The sequence below is a fragment of the Homo sapiens genome, chromosome 8 (genome assembly GCF_000001405.40).
Source record: "Homo sapiens chromosome 8, GRCh38.p14 Primary Assembly".
Classification (NCBI taxonomy): Eukaryota; Metazoa; Chordata; class Mammalia; order Primates; family Hominidae; genus Homo; species Homo sapiens.
The window spans coordinates 143,790,925-143,813,132 of record NC_000008.11 but is presented as its reverse complement, the minus strand read 5'-3'; the positions used below and the strand labels follow the sequence as shown (position 1 = coordinate 143,813,132).

Here is a 22,208-nt window from a genome sequence, read left to right as displayed (position 1 = left end):
TCACTATTTTCTCTGTTCCTTCTTGCAGCCAGACACTCTGGGGGCTCTGCCCAATCTTCGGGAGCTGTGGCTTGACCGGAACCAGCTGTCAGCACTGCCCCCGGTGAGTCAGGGTGGGGCTGGCCCCCTGCTTCGTGCCCATCCGCGCTCTGACTCTCTGCCCACCTGCAGGAGCTCGGGAACCTGCGGCGCCTGGTGTGCCTGGACGTGTCGGAAAACCGGCTGGAGGAGCTGCCTGCTGAGCTCGGCGGGCTGGTGCTGCTCACTGACCTGCTGCTGTCCCAGAACCTGCTGCGGAGGCTGCCCGACGGCATCGGTTAGTGTGCCTGGGGGTGCCTGGGTGGGGCACACGGAGCCTGGCCCTGGGAGGAGCGTGGGGCGTCGGGGCTGTGTGTGGTGTGGAACACAGGGGAGGATCCTGAGTGTGCCCAGGCTCTGGGAGCTGTCCCTGGGGAGGGGAGGTGGGACCCTGGGGCAGCCCAGAAGGCTGAGGAGGCAGCTGGTGGTGCTGGAGGGGGCGGTGGAGTCTGTGAGGGCGGAAGGGTGGCAGTGCCACTGGGGCCTGGTGTTTTCTTGAAGGAGGTTGGGTCAGGCTTGTGGGGCAAGGTAGGTAGGGTCCTCCCGAAGTACGGCGGCGGCAGAAGGGGCTGGGGGCCTTGCTGTCTGCCTTGAGGGCGCTTCTGGCCAGGTGGGTAAGGCACGTCTGGGGACCATGCTCAGCCTTGTCCCCCTGTCTCCCCGACGCCAGGTCAGCTGAAGCAGCTATCCATCCTAAAGGTAGACCAGAATCGGCTGTGCGAGGTGACCGAGGCCATCGGGGACTGTGAGAACCTCTCTGAGCTGATCCTCACGGAGAACCTGCTGATGGTAGGGTCTGGCTTGGGAGGCAGAAAGGATGGGGCCGTCGGGGGTGCAGAACAAGGACAGGGCATCAGCCTGTGTCTGCTGCTGGGGGGTGCTGGTGGCAGCCTGACGTGGAGCCACTCAGGAAGGGCTCTTCTCTTGTCAGAGGGGGAGCATGCTGGCCGGAGGTGAGGCGGGGCAGTGAGGCCAGGGCAGGGGCCTTTGCCGTTTACCGTGAAGAATCTAGGTCTCGTGTTTATCGCTGTATGTTGTAACACTGGGGAGCGGTTACAGAAGAGGCAGGAATGGGAACTTATTTGTCTGTAGGGAAGACAGATGGAGAGCAGGCTGCTCCCCAGGGGCGTCTGCCTGCCCCTCACAAAGCAGGGCAAGCTGAGGCACCAGGCCACGGTTCGGGACGGTGGTGTTGCTATCCCCATCCCCAGGCTGGGAAACAGGAGCTAGCTGTGGGGAGGGTGTTCATGGGAGTTTCCGGGGGGGTTCCTCACTGGGGAGATGGAGAAAGGGACTCTGGGGTTCAGGGCCCTGGGAAGGGGCTGGCCCTGAGCAGGCAGGCTGGAACTGGGGGCCTGGGGAGCCCTAGGGATGACAGGGCAGACCAGTGGGGCACCAGACAGGCTCACAGGGCGCAGCCTCGCAGGTCAGTCCAGGGCACCCATGGGAGAGGGTCAGGGATGACCTGGTGGGGTGTTTTGGTGGTGGGGACTGAAGGCTGAGGGCAGTGGGCAGAGCTTGGGGAGCAGAGGGCACGAAGTGGGGTGGAGACAGCTTCTGTGGTCAGGTCCTTGTCCCGGTCTCCAGGGGCTGTGAGGGACCCTGGCTGGAGCTGGCCTGGGGTGTCTGTGCCCTCCTGCCAGGGGCTGTCATCTCCTTCCCACCCCCAGCAAGCCCCTAGCGTCCTCTGACCTCCTCTTCTTGGCCAGGCCCTGCCCCGCTCCCTGGGAAAGCTGACTAAGCTGACCAACCTCAACGTGGACCGGAACCACCTCGAGGCGCTGCCGCCCGAGATCGGGGGCTGTGTGGCACTCAGCGTCCTCTCCTTGAGGGACAACCGCCTGGCCGTCCTGCCACCAGAGCTGGCCCACACGACAGAGCTGCACGTGCTGGACGTGGCGGGGAACCGGTGAGTGCCAGCCTTGCCCTGCGGGCCTAACCGTGGCCCCAACGCCTGCTGACTGTGCCCGCCCGGCCCGCAGCCTGCAGAGTCTGCCGTTCGCGCTCACCCACCTCAATCTCAAGGCCCTGTGGCTGGCAGAGAACCAGGCGCAGCCCATGCTCCGGTTCCAGACGGAGGATGATGCCCGGACCGGCGAGAAGGTGCTCACCTGCTACTTGCTGCCCCAGCAGCCCCCACCCAGCCTCGGTAGGTTGTTGGCAACCGGTGCTTAGCGCGGGGTGGCTCTCAGGCAGGGTTTGGGGACTAGCCTGGGTCCTGACGCTCACCTGCTGCAGAGGATGCTGGGCAGCAGGGGAGCCTCTCGGAGACCTGGAGCGATGCCCCGCCGAGCCGCGTCAGCGTCATCCAGTTCCTGGAGGCCCCCATAGGTGATGAGGACGCTGAGGAAGCTGCAGCTGAGAAGCGGGTATGAGGGTGAGGATCTGGGGGGCGAACCTCTGCCTGACCCCTGCCCTGTGGCTGCTGCTCATCCTTGTCCCTACAACAGGGCCTACAGCGCCGGGCCACACCTCACCCCAGCGAGCTCAAGGTGATGAAGAGGAGCATCGAGGGGCGGCGGAGCGAGGCCTGCCCTTGCCAGCCAGACTCTGGGTCGCCCTTGCCTGCAGAGGAGGTGGGCATGGAGCCACGGCAACCTGGCGGGCCGCTGACCCGGGAGCTGTGGTGGTCCGGTCCATCCTGGGAGTGGGGCTGTGAGGGCCAGGGCAGCACAGAGAAGGAGCAGGAGATGAGGCTGGTGACAGGTTTCAGGGACATGGAGCTGCAGGGCCAGCTGGGTGAAGGGTGCCAGGGTGGACGTGTGGGTCGTGCAGGGCGGGTCTGTGGGGCTGGAGTATGGGGAGAACCAGTGGTGGGTGTGCCTGGGAGCACAGGGAATGGGGTTTGGTTGTGGGGTAGGGTCTCTGGTGGAACTGCCGTGGGTGTCATCGGCACCTGGGAAGGGGTTTGGGACTGGGACAGAGCAGGCCTGACTGTTCTCACTCAGAGCTGTGACATGCGTGCTGTGGGTTTTTGGGTGCAGCAGAACCAGTGATCTGGGCTGGGGTAGGGTGTGTGGGGCCGTGCATGGGAGGGGAGGAGGTTCATATCACGCTGGGATTTTCCTGGGAACTTGTGTGGTCCTTGTTTGTTTTAGGAAAGGCTTTCCTTGGGGCTGGGCTGTGGAACCGTGGCTTTGTCCACCCTAGGCTTTGGAGGCGTGTGGCTTCCTTGCAGGCTGGGACAGGGAGCAGCTGCGAGGGCGTGAGCCCGTTAACGGTGCCTGGTCGGGGCAGCGGGAAGCTCAGGGAAGGCCTGCCACGTGGGGGGCATCCCAGGTGGCCAGCCTGTGAGTCGGGAGCTCCGTCGAAGCCTGACCCCACTTCCCGCCGCAGGAGAAGCGGCTGAGTGCCGAGTCTGGCCTGAGTGAAGACTCTCGCCCATCTGCCAGCACAGTCTCTGAGGCTGAGCCCGAGGGCCCGTCGGCTGAGGCACAGGGTGGGAGCCAGCAGGAAGCCACGACTGCTGGCGGGGAGGAAGACGCCGAAGAGGACTACCAGGAGGTGTGGATTGGCAGGAAGGAGGCAGGAGGCTGGGCCTGCTGGGTGGGGGCTGCCTCCCCTGCGGGGCCTCAGCTGGGATCGGTTTTGGTGCAGGCAGTGCCTGGGCCCTGCTGATGCTTCGGGGAGCTGCCCTGTACAGAGTGGCTACGGGTGGTGCAGGGCCGTGCTGCTGGGGGTGCCCTGGAGAGCTGCCTCCCTAGGTGGGGTTAAGGTCTCCCCTGACGGCTGGGCTCACAGAGCCCACCCCCACCCTGGACTCTCTTCTGACCCCCGTGGGCTCCCTGGTGTGAGGCCTTGGCGCACCCCTTCGTTTCCACCTGGGGCGCTGCGTGTCTCCAGGATGAGCCCCTGGCCTTCAGCTTTTCTCAGGGCTGAGACACGCGCCCCTCACTGGGCAGTTAGTGCTGAGTCTTTGTGTGGCGGGGAGGCTTTCGGAGCCCGTCTGTGGCCACACTGTTTAGTAGGGTCTTCCTGTGGAAGCACAGCCACAGAGCTGGGGCCACCCTCACCCTTTTGTCCGCACAGCCCACGGTGCATTTCGCAGAGGACGCACTGCTGCCCGGGGATGACAGGGAGATCGAGGAGGGGCAGCCTGAGGCCCCCTGGACCCTGCCAGGCGGGAGGCAGCGGCTCATCCGCAAGGACACACCTCACTACAAAAAGCACTTCAAGATCTCCAAGCTGCCCCAGCCCGAGGCCGTTGTGGCTCTGCTGCAGGGCATGCAGCCTGATGGGGAGGGCCCTGTGGCTCCCGGGGGCTGGCACAATGGCCCCCACGCACCCTGGGCTCCTCGGGCCCAGAAGGAGGAGGAGGAGGAGGAAGAGGGTAGTCCTCAGGAGGAGGAGGAAGAGGAGGAGGAGGAAAACAGGGCTGAAGAGGAAGAGGCCAGCACTGAGGAGGAGGACAAGGAGGGGGCCGTGGTTTCTGCGCCCTCTGTCAAGGTTGGTGTCAGCCTCACCCCTGCCTGACCCAGATTCCCCTGGCCCTCCTGGGCACCCAGGGCTGCGGCAGGAGCAGGGCCGAGGCCTGACCCACTGGCCCCTGGCCACCCGGAGAAGGTGGTGGACACGTGTGCTCCACAGTCGGCATCACGGCCACTCTCACCAGACCCCAGGCCTGCCCTGGCATTGGTCTCAGTCCATGCTTGGACTCCAGGCCTGCCCTGGCGTTGGTCTCAGTCCATGCTTGGACCCCAGGCCTGCCCTGGCGTTGGTCTCAGTCCATGCTTGGACCCCAGGCCTGCCCTGGCGTTGGTCTCAGTGCCAGAGGCAGCTCTGCTGGCCAGTATTTGCCCGACCTGCTGGCGGGCACGGAGTTCACAGAAGTCAAGCATGGCTGCCCACTCTTTGTGGGTCTCCAGGGCCTGTCTACATGTGTCGTGGTCCCAGGGCAGGGTCTGTTCCTCTCCCAAGATCACTGGGCTCTCCTGGGATCCTCTCTTGTGTTGGGCACTGCAGGCCCGAGGCCCTGATGGCTCTTTTCTGCCTTGTCGGGCCCTCCTGAGGTGCCACACAGGCCTTCGGGGCACCAGTGTGTCCCTCCCTGGCCCTCAAGTCTCCTCTCCATGGGTCACAAAGGGTCTCACCTGCTCTCTGGGCAAACTCAGATTCCAGGGGGAGTCCCCGGGTCTCACTATCCCTGCCCTTGATGACACTCTGACCCTGAGTGTGGGCCAGTGGCATGATAGCTGAGGGGGCCCGGAGGGGCCACAGCAGGGACAGCCCGGTGGGACTCTGCTCAGCTCTGGAGCCCCGCTTGTCCCCAGGTGTGTGGTGTCACTCACGCCTCCAGGATGGAGGCGCCCGTGCCAGGGCAGTCGAGGGAGCTTGCTGTGGTCTCCTCTGTCCTTTCTGCTTGTGGCGGGGGCTGGGTGAGGCGGTGGTGGTGGTCTTGGCGGTGGCTAACCTGCATGCCTCACTGGTCCTGTCCTAACAGGGAGTGTCGTTTGACCAGGCCAATAACCTGCTGATAGAGCCTGCTCGCATTGAGGAGGAAGAGGTCTGTACTGCTCGCTCTGCACTCTGGCCGGGCCGCTGCTGGCCTTGCTTCCCGGGCTGTGGGCTCACGCCTCTCCCCGCCCCTGTTGCTTGAGCGCAGATCCCTCTCAAAAGAGCTCTCAGATCCAGCTGGGCTCCAGGATCAGGACACCTCCTGCCTGGGGCAGCCCGTCTTGGCAGGGGTGAGCGGAGAGGCTGGTCCAGCTCCCATCAGCCGCCTGTGGTGCTCTGAGCCTTACCTGCCTGCGGAGGCAGCGCAGTCCTCACTCGAGGGTGGCAGGGGGGCCTCGGGCCACCATCACCTGGAGGTGGGCAAGCCCCAGCCCACCACGCTCTGCAGAGCAGTGCCCTCCTGCTGGGGTCTTGGGGCTTCTCCAGCTGGCGTCTGGGCTGGCCCTGGCTGGTGAGTGGCATGAGGCCCCATTCAGCTGCCTAGAGAAAAGCCAGAAATGGCATCTGCGTGCTGGTGGGGTCTCCTGCAGAGAGCACAGGCAGCCCCACTGCGGCCCTTCTAGACACCCTGTCTGTTCTGTTTCCAGCTGACCCTCACTATCCTGCGGCAGACTGGGGGCCTGGGCATCAGCATTGCGGGCGGCAAGGGCTCCACACCCTATAAGGGGGACGACGAGGTGAGCACTGCCTAGGAGGGCCTTTCCGCTGCCACTGGCCTGCCCCACCACAGTTCACACTGATGGCACACAGGCCCCTTGCCCTGAGAACACTCACACGCTCTGGGGACACGGGCTGGGCCCAAGGCACCTACTGTTGTGGGATCCCGAAGTCCAAGAGCAACCTGAGGGTGCCTGGGTCTGTCTTCCCTTCACAGCCCTCCTTCTCTCACCAGCTGCCTGTGCACCAGGCCTGGGGCCACGAGCCCTTTCTCGGGGCTGACGTGCTCCTTCTAACCCCCTGGCACTCAGGATCCCACAGTGGCTAGAGCTCAGTCCTCCTGCTGGCCAGGGCTAGGGGCTGCTGGGAGTGGGTCTTCCCCTCCTGGGTCTTCTGCAGAAGGAGCAGGAATGCGGGCCCGTCTCCCTGGCCCCTGCCAAGCTCGTGTCTGTGCCCTAGGGCATATTCATCTCTCGGGTGTCCGAGGAAGGCCCTGCGGCCCGGGCTGGAGTCCGTGTGGGTGACAAGCTCCTGGAGGTGAGTCGGCAACCTCTCCGCCCCGAGTGGCAGCTGTGCCCTCTGGAGGTACATGGTCCCTGGTATTAGGGTGCTTGGCTGCCTTCTCCCGGCCTCCCCAAGAGTTCCAAGCACAGGACACCCAGACTTCCGGGTGAAGCCACGGAACCTGTAAACCCCAGGAGAGAATCACCTGGGCAAGTGCCACCTGGGCTTTCCGTTGTCACCCTGGCTCCCATCCAGCGCCCTGATTGCTCATCTTTGTTCTGTGGGTACAGGTGTGTTTTTCTACCAGTGGGTAGGGCAGCAGCTGCACCTGGCACAGTGGCCTCTCCAGGAGGGGCCGCTCCTGGGCTGACCGAGAGGGGTCAGGCTACTGGCAGGTCTGGTGGGGTTTGGACCCTGTATGGGAGTCCTGGAGCCTCCACCTGGACACCTAGCTGTTCAGCCGGGGCACGGGCATCCGGGGGCTCTGAAGAGGCATGCGCCCTTCTTGTAGGGACACACTGAGGGCAGGTGAGGGCCCTGAAGCCCAGCCAGGAGGCGTCTGCCCAGGGCTCATATGCTGCGTCTGCTGCTCAGCTCTCCTGACCTTTGCGTGGGAACTGCTGCTCCTGGGTGTTGGGGTGGGGGTGTGGGTCAGTAACCCAGCGACCTTAGGTGTGTGTTGGGCTGTGCAGATGGGCCGGAGGTATCCAGGAGCGGGGCCATGTGTGGCCTGGCCGTGGGGGCATCTGCTTGCCTCCCGTGGCCAGTGTGTGTCCTGGCCCTAGGGCTTCCCACACCGGGTTTCAGAGGACCTGGTAGGGGAGGGGTCGGTGCCCACGAGGAACCTTGTGGCTAAAGGTCTCGGGTGATGTCAGCGCCTGGGGCCTTTCCCCTCGCCCTGTGCCTCAGTCTCCCCATCCTGGAGGGAGCGTGTGGAGCCCCCAGCACGTGGCTGTCTGTGGCGGCACTGGGTCCTGAATACGCACGTGGTCCCTGGCCCGCAGGTGAATGGTGTGGCTCTGCAGGGCGCCGAGCACCACGAGGCCGTGGAGGCGCTCCGGGGGGCCGGCACTGCCGTGCAGATGCGAGTGTGGCGGGAGCGCATGGTGGAGCCTGAGAACGCGGTCACCATCACGCCGCTGCGGCCCGAGGATGATTACAGCCCCCGAGAGCGGCGGGGAGGGGGGCTGCGCCTGCCCCTGCTCCCGCCTGAGAGCCCCGGGCCCCTCCGTCAGCGCCACGTGGCCTGCCTGGCACGCAGCGAGAGGGGGCTGGGCTTCAGCATTGCTGGTGGGAAAGGCTCCACACCCTACAGGGCTGGTGATGCGGTGAGGCTGGGGCCCAGGGCCGGGGAGGGCTGCTCTAGAGCTGACAGCCGCACTCCAGCCTCACCGGCAGCCCTGCCTCCTCCACCCTCCCCTGCAGGGCATCTTCGTCTCCCGCATTGCCGAGGGCGGTGCTGCTCACCGCGCGGGCACACTGCAGGTTGGCGACCGCGTCCTCTCTGTGAGTGGGGATGGGGCCCCGCCCCACCCACCCATCCCCCCTGCCCCGCCCCGCGCCCTCTGTCCCCTTCTGCCCTTGGGCCTCCCTGATTCGGGCACGCTCTCACAGATTAATGGAGTGGACGTGACTGAGGCCAGGCATGACCACGCCGTCTCCCTGCTGACCGCTGCCTCCCCCACCATCGCCCTGCTGTTGGAGCGGGAGGCTGGGGGCCCTCTTCCTCCCAGCCCTCTGCCACATTCCTCACCCCCCACCGCTGCTGTTGCCACCACCAGCATAACCACTGCCACCCCCGGGGTGCCTGGGTTGCCGAGCCTGGCCCCCAGCCTGCTGGCTGCCGCGTTGGAAGGGCCATACCCAGTGGAGGTGAGACACAAGCCCCCACCCAGGCACCCACCCAGCTTCAGCTGTGGGCACTGGCCTTCCCAGGACCTGCTCTCTTATGGCCTTGCGGCCCACTCCAGGTGGGAAGCCGGCCTGCTCGCCCTTTCCCCTGCAGCTCCTTGAGGCTGGGGCTCTGCCCCACAGCCAGACTCCTCAGTATGGTCCCCTTGACACAGTCTCCTGGCTGGCCACATGGCCACAGTCAGCGAGGATATTGTCCTCACGCTGCGTGCCTGCCTGGGCAGCAGAACACTGGTGGCGCAGAAATCCCCGTGGGCATTAGGGCAGCCCCCGCCCGCCATCCCCAAGGACCGGGACGGACTCTTGGGAGCCCTCCCACACCCTTTCCCTGTCCTGACCGAGGCCTGTCCTTGTCCCGCCCTAAATCCCCAGGAGATCCGTCTGCCAAGAGCTGGGGGCCCTCTGGGGCTTAGTATTGTCGGAGGCTCCGACCATTCCAGCCACCCGTTTGGTGTCCAGGAGCCTGGTGTGTTCATCTCCAAGGTAGGGCGGCCCATCCAGGCGGTTCTGTGAGAGGTGCACCCATCCCAGGTACCAGCGCAGGTCAGCGCGGCCTCAGCCACCAGCTGCCACCCTCCTCCCTGACAGGTGCTCCCGCGGGGCCTGGCCGCTCGCAGCGGCCTGCGGGTTGGGGACCGCATCCTGGCAGTGAACGGGCAAGACGTGCGGGATGCCACGCACCAAGAAGCAGTCAGTGCCCTGCTCCGGCCCTGCCTGGAGCTGTCGCTGCTGGTGCGGAGGGACCCGGCACCCCCGGGCCTACGGGAACTGTGCATCCAGAAGGCACCTGGGGAGAGGCTGGGCATCAGCATCCGCGGGGGTGCCAGGGGCCACGCTGGCAACCCCCGCGACCCCACAGACGAGGGCATCTTCATCTCCAAGGTGAGCCCCCCCCACCCCAGCCCGCCCTGGGCCCCACCCCCCAACAGGTCTCTCCCATACCACGTCTCCCCACAGGTGAGCCCCACGGGGGCAGCCGGGCGCGACGGTCGGCTGCGTGTGGGTTTGCGGCTGTTGGAGGTGAACCAGCAGAGCCTGCTGGGCCTGACGCACGGCGAGGCGGTGCAGCTGCTCCGCAGTGTGGGCGACACCCTCACCGTGCTGGTCTGTGACGGCTTTGAGGCCAGCACCGACGCAGCCCTGGAGGTTAGCGATCCCGCCCCGGGGACCGGGCCTCCCTCTGGCCCAGCCCAAGGTGTTGTGAGCCGCTGACACCTCTCGGGGCAGGCGACGGGTCCCCTGTGCCTCTGGGTCTGGGCGGTGCTCTGCGGCTCTGCATCAGCCGTGCGGGCTGGGGAGCTGTGGGCGGAGGGCCCTGCCTTCCCTTTCTGCTGAGCTCCGGCTCATCGAGCTGTCCAGAGGCCCAGTCCAAGTAGGACGAGGCACGTGAACGGATGGTGGGAGGGGCGTGTGTTTGGGACGCACTACGTGGTCTGGTCCTAAAAGAAGCTGAGCACTGGTGACTCCTGCAGAGTCCCATCAGGCTGCTAAGGGATGACTCCAAGCCCTGCCCAAAGCCCACCAGCCAGGCAGACGCCTTGGGATGCTGAGGGTCCCCGCTCCTGTGCCTAGTGGCACCTTGCTCCTCTCAGCCCATCCCTGGGCCATGACTCCAGGGAGCCCCTCTGGTGACCCCTCAACAGAGAACTCCCTACCCAAGATCTCCTGCCCAACTGCTGGTCCGTCCCTTCCTGGACTCCAGAGCAGAAGCCCAGACGGGGAGTTGGGATGCGAGGTGGGGCCCCAGGAGTCCTCCCCACCAGCACGGCCTGGATCCTGGACAAGCCTGGCCTGTCTCAGGGGGCTCCCATCTCCCTTCCGTCTTCTTCCCCATGCCATCCCAGGGGCCCTGCAGCAGGCCTCAGCAGTTTCCAGGGGTTCTTCACTGGCGCCAGGGTGTGCAGGCTGGCTTCCCACTGGAGTGGCCTGCAGGGCCACAAGAGGGTGGGTCCCGGGAGGGCCAGCGCCCATGGCTGAAGCTGGGTGGATGCCTGGGCCTTCACCTGGAGGGGCCATCTGCTCCTCCCAGAGGGTGTCCCTGCTGGTCACACAGGTCCACAGGGGGCAGGTGGCTGTCACCACTCCCCACCGGCACACAGATGGCTTCCTCTCTGTAACAGCCTCTGGGATGCGGCGGCCCCTCACATTGGTTCTGTCCTGCAAGGGATCTCTGGGATGGTGGCTTTCTGCCAGGCTGACAGTCACAGAGTGTCCTGACCCACAGCCAGCGTGGGGGCCCCTTGGCGGGAAGTGGGTCTGCATTCGTTGTTTTTGCTCCACAGCTGGACGTTGAGCTTGGGGTTGGCCCCGGGCCAGCCCTCACCCACCGGGTCCCCTCCTGTCCTTGAGGGAGTCCTGGTGGTTTCTGGGGAAGGATTTATCTGAGGACTCGAGCTCTGGACCATCTGGTTCTCAGAGAGGGCCTTGCCTTTTATTATTTTAAATGTGTATCTAAACACGTTTCATTCGATATATTTACTCGTGAAGTTTTTATTAGAGAGGGAGCGAGCTCCCTCAGGGAAGAGCTAGGTATGCAGAAGGCAGGGCTAGTGCCATGTCTGCAGCCGGCGTGCCGCGCTGCTGTCGGCCACAGGTTGTCCTTGCATCTGGCCGGGTCCCCCACGAGCCTGCCGTGACATGTCGGTATAGGAGGGGCAGGGGTCTCAGACCTCACACTCTGGCCAGCCACGGACAGAGCCACCTCCACACCCTCCCTGGTGTTGGGGGCAGATACCATTTCTGCCGCGTCGGGCAAGCCAGGGGTCCCGAGCAGTGGGGCTGAGAGCTGCCATCCAGCTCCCCTTCCCCGTCACTGCTACCTCTTTCCCATGTCCTTCCGTCTTCCCGGGGGCTCGCTGTCCGCCCCAGCACTGCCCTTGCTCTCCGTTGTCACCCTGGCTTCCGTCCAGCAGCCTGGTTGCTCATCTTTGTTCTGTGGGTACAGGTGTGTTTTTCTGCAGCGGTTGCTTATCTTTTCCTTTAAAAAAATGGGATCTTTTGAGTTACAAAAATCAAAATTTTTAAATTAAGTCTTCTGGGTTCTTTATGACTTCTGGATTCTGGTTTTTTCCTTGGGAAGATCTTCCCTACTGCAAGATTACAAAAACATTGTCATGTTTTCTTCTAGTATTTCTGGAAGTTTAAACAACACATAGCTCCATGGTCCACCTGGAATTGCTTTGATGAGGTCTCGCTTGTCGCCTAGGCTGGAGTGTGGTGACACAATCACAGCTCACTGCAGCCTCCGCCTCCTGCGCTCAAGCCATGTCCCCATGCCCAGCCCTGGAACTGCTTTGCAAGTAACTGGATGCATAGCTGTCCCCACAGTACTGACTGAACAGTCTGTCGCTTCCCCAGTGATTTGGGGGAAATGTGGCCTCATTGTGTTCAGTTCCTGTAGGCTCCAAGCCCTGTTTCTGGACTTGGTCCCAGTGAGTTGTGAGCTACTTCTGGGCCAATGCCACGCATTTAAATCCCTCACTTTGTAGCAGGTTTCATGCCTAATCCTAATGGGCAAAGTCACCCACTCCTTTTTCTTGTCTTGAAAAGTTTCTATTGTCAATGTGTTTTCTCTTACGAATGAACCTGCCAAGTTCTGTGCAGAAACCGACTGGAATTCTGGGATTTCACGTACGTGTATGTATGTACATATTTTGAGAAAGGGTCTCGCTCTGTCGCCCAGGCTGGAGTAGCGGCACAGTCGCTGCACGCCGCAGGCTCGCCCTGCCGGGCTCAAGCGATCCTCCCACCTCAGCCTCCCGAGTAGCTGGGACTACAGCTGCGCCACCACACCCGGCTCATTGTTTTAAAGTTTTCTGTAGAAACGGGGTTTTGTCATGTTACCTAGGCTGGTCTTCAGCTCCTGGGCTCAAGTGACCTGCCTGCCTTGGCCTCTCAAAGTGCTAGGCTTCCAGGCGTGAGCCCTGCGCCCAGCCTTGGGGTTATCTTTATGTCGAGCTTTTCTCTAGGGTGTCCCCCGGTGGCTCTTGCTTTCCTAGTAATTCTTATAAATCCTCACCTGGATTTGTAAATCTGCTTCACCCCCTGGCAGAAGCCTGGCCGCCCTTCCCCCTTCGGGCCTCTCCCTTGTCCCCTCCCGCAGAGCCCCTGGTCCTGTGGAGGTGGGCTTGTCTTGTGCTCAGCTCTGAGGGACTTTCATCTTGTACTGTGACGTTTGCTGTAGACTCTCTTACAACATTTTTTAAATGGAGGGGGGGCTGTTTCTATTTATAACCTGTAAGAATTGTTATCTGAAGCGGGTGTTGAGTTTTCTGAAGTCCTCTTATCTGCTAAGTAGGGTTGGTTCAGCCCATGGAGGTTTCATCAGCGGGCTTGGGGCTTGAGAGAGAGGAGCTGGGGTCTCACACATCAGGAGTCCACGCCATGTCTGGCTTCCTGGCTTCTCACAGAAAGCTCAGAGGACGTGGCACGGCCAGGCCGGTGCTCCCACAGGTCCATCTGTGTTTCTGACTCCAGAGCATGGGTGGGGTGGGGGGGGGGCTTCAATTCATGACCCTTCCCCATTTTTCTGAAACTCAGGCCACTGGACTCATCTGTGTCTGTCTGCCTGGCCCTGTGGGCATCGGTTTGCCCACTGGGTTCTGTAACTTTCTTCTCACTGTGCGAGCCCATCTTGGCATTGGCTCAGGAGCTGCCTGCATGTCCCTAGCACTCTGGAGCAGTGGCCCGTGTTTGTCTGTCAGAGCCTACGTCTCCTGCTTTCTACGGCCCACGTCTGTCTGTCAGAGCCTACGTCTCCTGCTTTCTAGGACTGGTGCATTTTTAGGGGTCGTGCACAGTCCATCTAAGCCTGGCCCTCACTTGCTGTCGGGCCTTGACTTTACTCCTCAGTCTCCTCGTCTGTACAATGGGTCACCCGCAGTGCCTGCTTCTCGGGGTCGAGAGGATTGATTCAGTAACGACCTGCCTCGCCATGGTCGGCGCCGACCCCTGCGCAAACCTAGGTGGGTGTGCGCTGTCTGAGAGACTCGCCCGCTACCCCGCGTGTTTGGCATGAGGACGCAAGTCCTCTCCCACTGGGCCCCTCCTCTGCGGCCACCTCCCCCTCGGCCCTGCTGTCCGCATCCTCTTCCTCCTGGTCACGCTGACCAGGGTCCTGTGTGTTGATGGGCTTGTCAGAGCCAGCTTCTGACTACTGGTCAGGACCACCTCTCCCTTGTCATCATCACCATTAAAAATTAAACTTCAGAAGAGACTGCCCTTTCTTTTGGCATTTCCTCGATTTACGCTCTCAGGAAGAATCCTTCAGTCTTTCCCTCTGCATCTCTGGCTGTTAACTTTTCTGTAGATATGTCTGTAAAGAAGAGATCACTAGCTCTGTTTCTGTCCTGATGTGAGCTCCTGCAGGAAAGACCTAGGAAGATGAAATGCTTGGTTCTTCCATTTGTTAGTTTTTAGAATAACAGGCTGGGGCCCTGGAATCTTCCAAAGGTGGTTCCTGAGGTGTCTTTCTGTTTTTAGGGTTTTCGTGAACTTATGAGTCTTTATTTTCCTGATGGGTTTCAACACAGCGTTCCCTTGATGTCCCTTGATCAGGCAGCGAGACCCCGCATCCCTGTGGCATGACCCCATCATTCCCCAGCTGCTTTGACAGGGCATTCTTTGTACTTCCTGCCCCGGCCCTGGATTCCAACATTTTTGTGTGGGACCTGGCCCCTCTCGGTGGGAGCTGGGTGTGGGGCTCCTATAACCATGGGCCAGGCGTGCTCAGGACTCAGGCACTGCCTTTGCTGCTCTGTGGCCTCTGCAGCAGATGGAGGCTGAGAGGTGGATGTTTTCAGAAAGAGAACAAATCCTGAGTTTGTACTGTTACATTTAACTCATTTAAGATTGTAGGGTTTTTACTAACTTTTGTAATTTTATACTTTTTCTCATAAAATCTTTCCTTAATTCCTTAATTTCAAAATTAACTGAGTGTGGTGGCACATGGCCTGTAGTCGCAGGTATTCAGGAGGCTGAAACAGGAGGATCGCTCGAGCCCAGGAATTTGAGTCCAGCCTGAGCAAGACAGACTCTAAAAAACAAAAACAGTGACACCACTGGTACAACTGAGAGCAGGAGCGTGGAGAGGGGCCGAGTTCTGGCGGCTGCTTCCTGAGGGTTCACCCTGCCTGGGACGTACAGTCCGCATCCTGTGTTCTCAGCCACTTGAGATCATTCTGTGGTTTTGCTACCAAGCTGATAACACAGTTGGGCTGACTCATTTTAGCTTTTAGGGTAACTTTTTAAAAATCTGTTTTTTGTTTTTTTTTTGAGACGGAGTCTCACTCTGTTTCCCAAGCTGAAGTGCAGTGGCACGATCTCAGCTCATTGCAACCTCCACCTCCCGGGTTCAAGCGATTCTCCTGCCTCAGCCTCCCGAGTAGCTGGGATTACAGGCGTCTGCCACCGAAAAAATCTGTTTCTTAATTGTGTAAATCTTCACGTGGTTCCAAAGTTGAAGTTATATAGAATCATTTCAGAAGACCGGCCTCCATCTCTCTGCTCCCAGACTACCATCTTTATTAGTTTTGGTTTATTCTGCCATTTGTTTCTCTTTGAAAAATGTAAGCACATACATAAATGAATTTTAAACTTAGAGAAAAGTTGCAAAAACAGGACAAAGAACCTCTGACACTCAGCCCTATTCATGGCTCACCCACTGCGCCGGGGACGTGCTCCGTCGTGGAAGGGCGCGGCCCGATCCCTGTGGGGCTTGGCCACCGCATCCCTCTAGTCTCCTTCGGTCGGAGCGTGCCTCTGTCTTTGCTGATTTCTCTGACCTTGACGCTTCTGCTGGGCGTAGGCCCTGCCTGCAGTGACTGCCCCCACGCTGGGTCTGATGTCCTCACAGGCTTCAGCGTGTGCATCTTGGCCGGGATTATCATGGAGCTACCACGTGTCTGTGTGCCTACCACCAGGGCTCACTGGTGATGCTCTGAACCGTGGGGTCAGCCAGGTTTCCCCCTGCAGTTACTCCTGCCCCTTGAAATCAGCAAGTGAGGAAGGTGCTTTGAGAGCATATAATAGGCTGTTTCTCATCCAGCTTCGCCTGTGAGCCTCAGCACCTTGATGGTTCTGAGCGGGCCCCGAGGTGGTTGGCGACATTCCTGACCCACCACTGCCATACTCATCAGGCAGCTTCCTGCCACCGAGCCTTCCCTTCTCCCAGTTTATGTGTGTCTGCTTACCTGTTCACGTGGGCTCACAAGGGAGTCCATTTCATTAACAAGTGAGCTTCCATTTTATTTCATGGGCGACAGCCTTTTACCATCGTAATTTATTTTGAGGCTCAAATTGTCCCAGCCTTGGCCCACGGAAGGGGCTTGAGGACCTGAGGCATTCTGACACGACCTCCCCTCTCTCAGCAGCCCCTCACCTTCTGCCTCCAGGATGTGCTGGGCTTCTCTCCATACCCTGCCCAGCCCTGGAGTTGCCCCTTTCTCTCAGGAGCGCTGGATCCTTTTAGTGGAGAGTGACATTTAGAAGCTGTGGTCTGGCCCTGGACCCAGCGTTCTTGGGGTGTCATCTCGGGACCTCCTGGGGGCCAGAGCTGGAGGGTATGCCGGTCATTCCCAAGGTTATTCTTGGAACAGTAGAAGAGGGTGAGCTCCTAGTGGCTGTCGGAGTCAGCACCCGGGTCTGCCTTTTCTGTGTTTGAACAGCTCTCTCTGACATGAGAGGCCGGGCTACCTGGGACCTTGCTTCCCACTCTGCCAGGACCCCTGCCTCTCTTGGACCTGCCCAGTGGCTTTTTGACTTGTTATTTCAGAAACTGAGAAGACAGGCACCTTGTTTGTTGTTTGTCCCGCTAGTCCTGTGAGTCTGAAAGAGACGTAGCTAAGTCTGCCTGTGTAACTGTGCTTTTACGACACTCGCGTTTCTAGTCTTTGCTTTCTGTGTTTAGCTGCTTCCTTGTTGAGCGCTTACAGTTGATGACTGTATCATCGTTGTAAACAGCATCTTCTGTGGTGACGGCATCCGTCTGCCTGCTCGACAGCTCTGAACTCACACCCTTTCTCCCCCGGCCTGAGCAGCCCCTCCCTGTGCCTCCCGTGTGTTTGCCTGGCATCTCTTTGCCTGCCCCTTACTTACCATTTCAGCTGTGTTTTTAACCAACAGTACAGGGCTGGGTTTGTCCCTGAGGCCACACTGAGAGCTCCTCGATTTTGCAGGGACCCCGTCTGTGATGAGGGCGGTGAGCAATGCCTGTGTCCACTGTGCTGCCTCCTCCGCTGCTTCTGGCTGCTGCTGGGGGTGGAGGTTTGAAGCAGTCCCGTTGCCCGCCGCAGGCTTGGAAGTCAGCTCTTCCCATGGTTCCCTCTGCCCGTGTTAACCCCAGGCTCGGGATTCAAGTACATCTTGTGCCCAACCAGAAGCCCCTGCCTGTCCTGGCCCTGTCTCCTCGCCCCCCTCTGCCCTGCCTGAGCTATCTGAGTGCCTTTCCTTTCTAGACGCCCCCTCCGCCCTGCCAGTCTCTGGCTTGGGACAGGTGATTGAGCTCTGGGGAGTGCAGAGCTGGCCGGGCCTCCTGCATGGTGTCCCTTGTTTCAGAATCCCTGCCCAGCACTCACACTGGGGTCTGGAGCCAGCCTTTCCACCCGAGGGGGCCGTTCTGCCCCATCAGTTCCAGTGCCTGCTACTCACGCCCCTCCTTCCCCCATCTTGGTGGCTGTCAGCTCTTCCTGGGGATGACTTTACACAGTCAGCAGAGTGGCAGGCATCATGCTACTTCACAGTCTTGCCTAGTGCAGACGTGACCACGTCCACGGCAGCCCTGTGAGCTGTGATGGGGACCGGCCGGGGACAGTGCTGCAGCGTCCTGGGGGGCCCAGCGGAGTGCCCTCCAAGGCTGCCCCAGCCACGCGGTCAGCCCTGCCCAGGGACGCGGCTCCTGGGCTCACCGTTGCTGACTATTCTGGGCTGGGACCCCAGCCTGCCCCAGAGGTGGGACCCCGGGTTGCAGTCCCCCCTTCTTAGCCCACACCCCTCTTCTCAGGTGTCCCCAGGTGTCATTGCCAACCCCTTTGCGGCAGGCATCGGCCACCGGAACAGCCTGGAGAGCATCTCTTCCATCGACCGGGAGCTGAGCCCTGAGGGCCCAGGCAAGGTCAGAGGTGCCTGCAGCCGGCAGCCCCAGGGCCAGGGAGCCCGAGGCCGGTGGTGCCTGACGGGTCTGCTCTGCTCTGCTCACAGGAGAAGGAGCTGCCTGGACAGACCCTGCACTGGGGGCCCGAGGCCACAGAAGCCGCAGTGAGTGTGGTCGCCCCACCCCCTCACATCAGGGCACTGGAGCGGGGTGCACATTGCCTGTGGGGTGCTGGGTAGTAACCCCCAGGACCCCCTCTCCTGCCCTGTGCTGGCCGGGTGCTGCCACGGAGCTACCCCTGCTAGTGCTGTGTTCACTCTGCCCCCAGGGTCGGGGTCTGCAGCCCCTGAAGCTGGACTACCGCGCCCTGGCCGCCGTGCCCAGCGCTGGCAGCGTGCAGAGGGTGAGTGCCCAGTGTGCAGTGCCCCCCACCTCCGTCCTGTTGTCCTGTTCATCGGCCACCCCAGGACAAACGCCAGGGCCATCCGGGAGGGAACCTTTGGGCGGGGGCTGGGGTGGGAGGAGGCCACGTCTGACCTGCAGGCTACCCCAGCCTGGCACATGCTTATCACCCTCATTCTCAACCCAAGCCATGTTGGTGCTGCCCCACCCACACACCCTGAGCTGCGGATGGGTGACACAGGCCGAGGCATCCCTCTAGTGGCGGTGCGAGAGCTTCACCTGCTGCTGCTGGGGCTGCCCAGCCCCAGAGGGTGCGAGTGGGGGCAGAGGCTCCTGGGGGATTGGGCAGGCACATGTCCCCAAGGGGAGGACAGGCTGGAGCAGCTGGAGGGGCGGGTGCTGGGGACAGGCAGGAGGATGTGCAGGCCCATCCCTCCCCTTAGAGATACAAATAACCCTCCCAGAGGGTGCGCCCCACCAGCCCCACCGAACGTGAGTGCCGAGGGGTGGCTCCTGCAGGCCCTTGCCCAAGCGGTGGGGTGGTGGTGAGGGGCCAGGCAGGGCCTGGATCTGAGGCAGCGCATTCGGGGGCTCTTGGGTACTGACCCTGCCTCCTCTGGCCATGGGCAGCGCCAAGAGGGAGGCTTCCGGGAGGCCCTTCATCCTCATGAACAACAGCACAGTCATGGGGGCAGCAGTCAGGGCGCCACTGAGCCCTGAGGGCTGCACACCACAAGTAGGGGCTCCCCACCATCACCTCTGTCTCTGGCCCCTCCCCCGAGCCCTCCCTGCTCTCTTCTCCGGCTGTCCTGTCTGCTCCCATCTCTCCTGCAAAGCTCCAGCCAGCACACTGCCATGGAGACAGCAGCTGCCCAGCCCAGGCCCCCGCATCCTGTGGGAACGGGGACGAGCCCCTCCGTGCTGACCGAGTGTCTGGGGCATCCCCTGGGCTATAGTCAGGTTGGGGAACTGAAGAGCTGCTGTGGCTTTTAGGCAAGCCCCAGGGCCCCCAGTCCCTCCTGGTCGGGGGCCACAGCCCTGCCCATCCTCACCCCACCCACTGCCTACTCCTCCAGGTACCGTCTGGAGCAGCTGGAGGGAAGATGGCTGAATCTCCCTGCTCCCCTAGTGGCCAGCAGGTGAGTGTCCCAAGTTAACGGGTGTGCCCCATGGTGGGTGGAGGGCAGGGCAGATGGCCGCTGTGCACAGGGCCCCTCCTCCAGGGATGGGGGGTCAGGGGCCATCGTGGGGTGCTGTTGACTCCGGTTTTCCCTCTGCTACCATGGGGCCTCCTGTGTGAGGAAGGCCAGGGACGCTTTCCTGGCCAGAGCTGCCTGGCGATGGGGTGGGGGGCCTGAGTGTGCTGTTCCTGGAGGGGCTCAAGCTCCTGAGACCCCAGTCAGTGTCTCAGGCCCAACACCTCCCAGGGCCCACCTTATCCCTGCCTGCCTTTTGTCTGGGGGTCCTTGCCCCCCCACTGTTGGCACCTCCCAACACACTGCCACGTGGGGGTGGAGGTGGCAGCCCCCATGAGACCCAGCCCCAGCTCAGCCCCTCACAGGCAAGATGTCAGCCCCACCCAGGTTGGTCGGTCTCTCTCTCTCTGTCTCTCCCACCCCCCTCTCTACCCCCGTCCCTTGCCTTAAACCCCTGATCCTGCTCTCCTCTGCCCCCGCCGCCCCCACCTGCCTTTTTTAGACAAAACCAGGGGTGATCCAGCCATTGGCTCAGGCCTGGCCAAGGGGCTCCCCAGCCCCCAGGGGCAGAGGTTGTCCCCACTCCGTGAGTGCTCTGTCCCGTGGGTGGGGGTGGCAGAGCCTCCTTCCCCAGCAGGATGGTGGGTGGGGATCAAAGGCAGGCGGGGGGACAGGCGGGGGGACAGCCGGTGGTGAGTTGCACACAGCTGCAGCCCCGACAGCTGCCCCAGCATAGCTCACAAGAGCCCCACCCCCCAGCCGCCCTCCCCGCCTTCTCCGGATGAGCTGCCCGCCAATGTGAAGCAGGCCTACAGGGCCTTCGCGGCCGTGCCCACTTCTCACCCGCCTGAGGATGCCCCTGCCCAGGTGTGTGGGGGCAGCACGCCTCCCTGCTGCGCGTGGTTGGGGTGGGTGCCCGGGGGCCCCAGTATCTCGGAGGAATGCCAGCCAAACCTCAAGGTCCGCTCCCCCCAGCCCCCCACGCCTGGGCCTGCAGCCTCCCCGGAGCAGCTGTCCTTCCGGGAGCGGCAGAAGTACTTTGAGCTGGAGGTGCGCGTGCCCCAGGCCGAGGGCCCCCCTAAGCGCGTGTCCCTGGTGGGTGCTGACGACCTGCGGAAGATGCAGGAGGAGGAAGGTGAGGGGCACGGAAGTGGGGTGGGGGTTGGGTCTCGGCTGGTCTGGCCTGACCCACCCTGCCCTCCGGCAGCCAGAAAACTACAGCAGAAGAGAGCGCAGATGCTGCGGGAGGCGGCAGAGGCTGGGGCCGAAGCGAGGCTCGCCCTGGACGGGGAGACGCTGGGCGAGGAGGAACAGGAGGATGAGCAGCCACCCTGGGCCAGCCCGAGCCCCACCTCAAGGTGAGCACCCGCCCACCAGACGCCCCCTACTCACCCCACGTGCCCCTGCCCCCCACAGCACGTCCTGTCCCTTCCCCAGGCAGAGCCCGGCGTCCCCCCCACCCCTGGGAGGTGGCGCCCCGGTGCGGACGGCCAAAGCTGAACGGCGCCACCAGGAGCGGCTGCGCGTGCAGAGTCCGGAGCCACCGGCACCCGAGCGTGCCCTGTCCCCTGCCGAGCTCCGGGCCCTGGAGGCCGAGAAGCGTGCGCTGTGGAGGGCAGCCAGGTGAGCCCCTGTGTGGGGTCGCCACCCCGCCCTGCTGCCTGTCCCTGCTCCTGCCCCAAGTCACCCCTGCCCGCTGTTCTCTGCAGGATGAAGTCATTGGAACAGGACGCTCTCCGAGCACAGATGGTCCTCAGCAGGTCCCAGGAAGGCCGGGGCACGCGGGGGCCCCTGGAGCGACTGGCCGAGGCCCCTTCCCCTGCGCCCACCCCGTCGCCCACCCCTGTGGAAGGTCTGTGGGTCAGGGCAGGTCGGGGGGGTCAGCCTGCCGCATGGGCTGCTTCCAATGCCCGCTTCTTGTCCCCCCAGACCTCGGCCCCCAGACCAGCACCTCCCCGGGACGCCTGGTGAGGAGCCGGTGGCTATGCCTTCCCTTCACCCCCGAGGCATGGGGGTGGGGTCTGGCCTGCCCCCACCCCCGTGGCCCTCATCCCCCCCTTTCCTCTCACTCTCTGCCTCTCCCCTCACGCTGTCCTTTCAAGCCCTTGTCTGGAAAGAAGTTTGACTACAGGGCCTTTGCGGCCCTGCCTTCTTCCAGACCTGTCTATGACATCCAGGTACCTGGCCTCCAGGCCTCTGCATGCCTGCCACCCTGTCCGTGCCTGCCACCGCCCCCATCCGCTCCCGCAGGGCCTCCCCACGCTCTGCCGTGGCCCTGCCTCTTCACCCCCCCTCCCCCTTCAGCCGGGCTCTGTGGGCCTCAGGGCTGGGAGCCCACCCGTCCACCTGGGTGGTTTGGGGCAGGGCTGGCACCGGCCTGACCAACACTCTCCCCATCACAGTCACCGGACTTTGCTGAGGAGTTGAGGTCCCTGGAACCATCTCCCAGCCCTGGTGAGTTGGGGCCGGGCTGGGGTGAGCTCCCAGGAGCCCAGCTGCCCTCAGCTCACTGCCCACCTGTCCCTGCCCTCCAGGCCCGCAGGAGGAGGATGGAGAAGTGGCTCTGGTGCTTCTGGGCAGGCCCTCACCCGGCGCTGTGGGCCCTGAAGATGTGGCACTGTGCAGCAGCCGCCGCCCCGTAAGGCCTGGGCGCCGTGGCCTGGGCCCTGTGCCCTCCTAGAGGAGCAGGCACCTCCCCCAGACTTGGGGTGGGGGCCCTGCCAGCTCCAGCACCACCCTTGCCCCAAGTCTTTTAACCTGGGTGTTAGCATTTTAAAGAGACCCCACAGGAGTTCTGGCCTGTGACTAACTAACTGCCCCACCCCAGCCGAGACCTCGGCGAGACTGTAACTAGTGATGTTTGTACAACCAAAGACTCTATTTTGTGGTTTAAGGAGAATAAAGTTGACTACATTTTA

General features: G+C 62.5%; 1 protein-coding gene and 1 non-coding gene across 3 annotated transcripts in view; both read left to right on the top strand.

Annotated features, from left to right (window-relative positions):
* Positions 1 to 22,208, top strand: part of SCRIB (scribble planar cell polarity protein) — a 24,849-nt gene extending 2,641 nt beyond the window's left edge. Inside the window, exons 7-37 of one of the 2 annotated variants that reach the window (NM_182706.5) lie at positions 29 to 103; positions 172 to 316; positions 749 to 867; positions 1,788 to 1,987; positions 2,061 to 2,227; positions 2,317 to 2,447; positions 2,529 to 2,654; positions 3,415 to 3,582; positions 4,108 to 4,524; positions 5,519 to 5,581; positions 6,120 to 6,209; positions 6,649 to 6,726; positions 7,698 to 8,021; positions 8,119 to 8,199; positions 8,308 to 8,565; positions 8,977 to 9,087; positions 9,193 to 9,486; positions 9,562 to 9,750; positions 17,603 to 17,713; positions 17,800 to 17,856; positions 18,021 to 18,095; positions 19,171 to 19,233; positions 20,050 to 20,157; positions 20,266 to 20,425; positions 20,498 to 20,648; positions 20,728 to 20,913; positions 21,000 to 21,142; positions 21,220 to 21,257; positions 21,393 to 21,467; positions 21,693 to 21,744; positions 21,825 to 22,208. In NM_182706.5, the coding sequence (NP_874365.3) occupies positions 29 to 103; positions 172 to 316; positions 749 to 867; positions 1,788 to 1,987; positions 2,061 to 2,227; positions 2,317 to 2,447; positions 2,529 to 2,654; positions 3,415 to 3,582; positions 4,108 to 4,524; positions 5,519 to 5,581; positions 6,120 to 6,209; positions 6,649 to 6,726; positions 7,698 to 8,021; positions 8,119 to 8,199; positions 8,308 to 8,565; positions 8,977 to 9,087; positions 9,193 to 9,486; positions 9,562 to 9,750; positions 17,603 to 17,713; positions 17,800 to 17,856; positions 18,021 to 18,095; positions 19,171 to 19,233; positions 20,050 to 20,157; positions 20,266 to 20,425; positions 20,498 to 20,648; positions 20,728 to 20,913; positions 21,000 to 21,142; positions 21,220 to 21,257; positions 21,393 to 21,467; positions 21,693 to 21,744; positions 21,825 to 21,970 (4,401 nt within the window). In that variant the 3' untranslated portion in view covers positions 21,971 to 22,208. The remainder of the gene's footprint in view (positions 1 to 28; positions 104 to 171; positions 317 to 748; positions 868 to 1,787; positions 1,988 to 2,060; positions 2,228 to 2,316; positions 2,448 to 2,528; positions 2,655 to 3,414; positions 3,583 to 4,107; positions 4,525 to 5,518; positions 5,582 to 6,119; positions 6,210 to 6,648; positions 6,727 to 7,697; positions 8,022 to 8,118; positions 8,200 to 8,307; positions 8,566 to 8,976; positions 9,088 to 9,192; positions 9,487 to 9,561; positions 9,751 to 17,602; positions 17,714 to 17,799; positions 17,857 to 18,020; positions 18,096 to 19,170; positions 19,234 to 20,049; positions 20,158 to 20,265; positions 20,426 to 20,497; positions 20,649 to 20,727; positions 20,914 to 20,999; positions 21,143 to 21,219; positions 21,258 to 21,392; positions 21,468 to 21,692; positions 21,745 to 21,824) is intronic. The other variant, NM_015356.5, reaches the window with a different exon arrangement.
* On the top strand, positions 91 to 176 carry MIR937 (microRNA 937). Its single transcript, NR_030633.1, has one exon. It is a non-coding gene; the product is annotated as a microRNA 937 (primary transcript).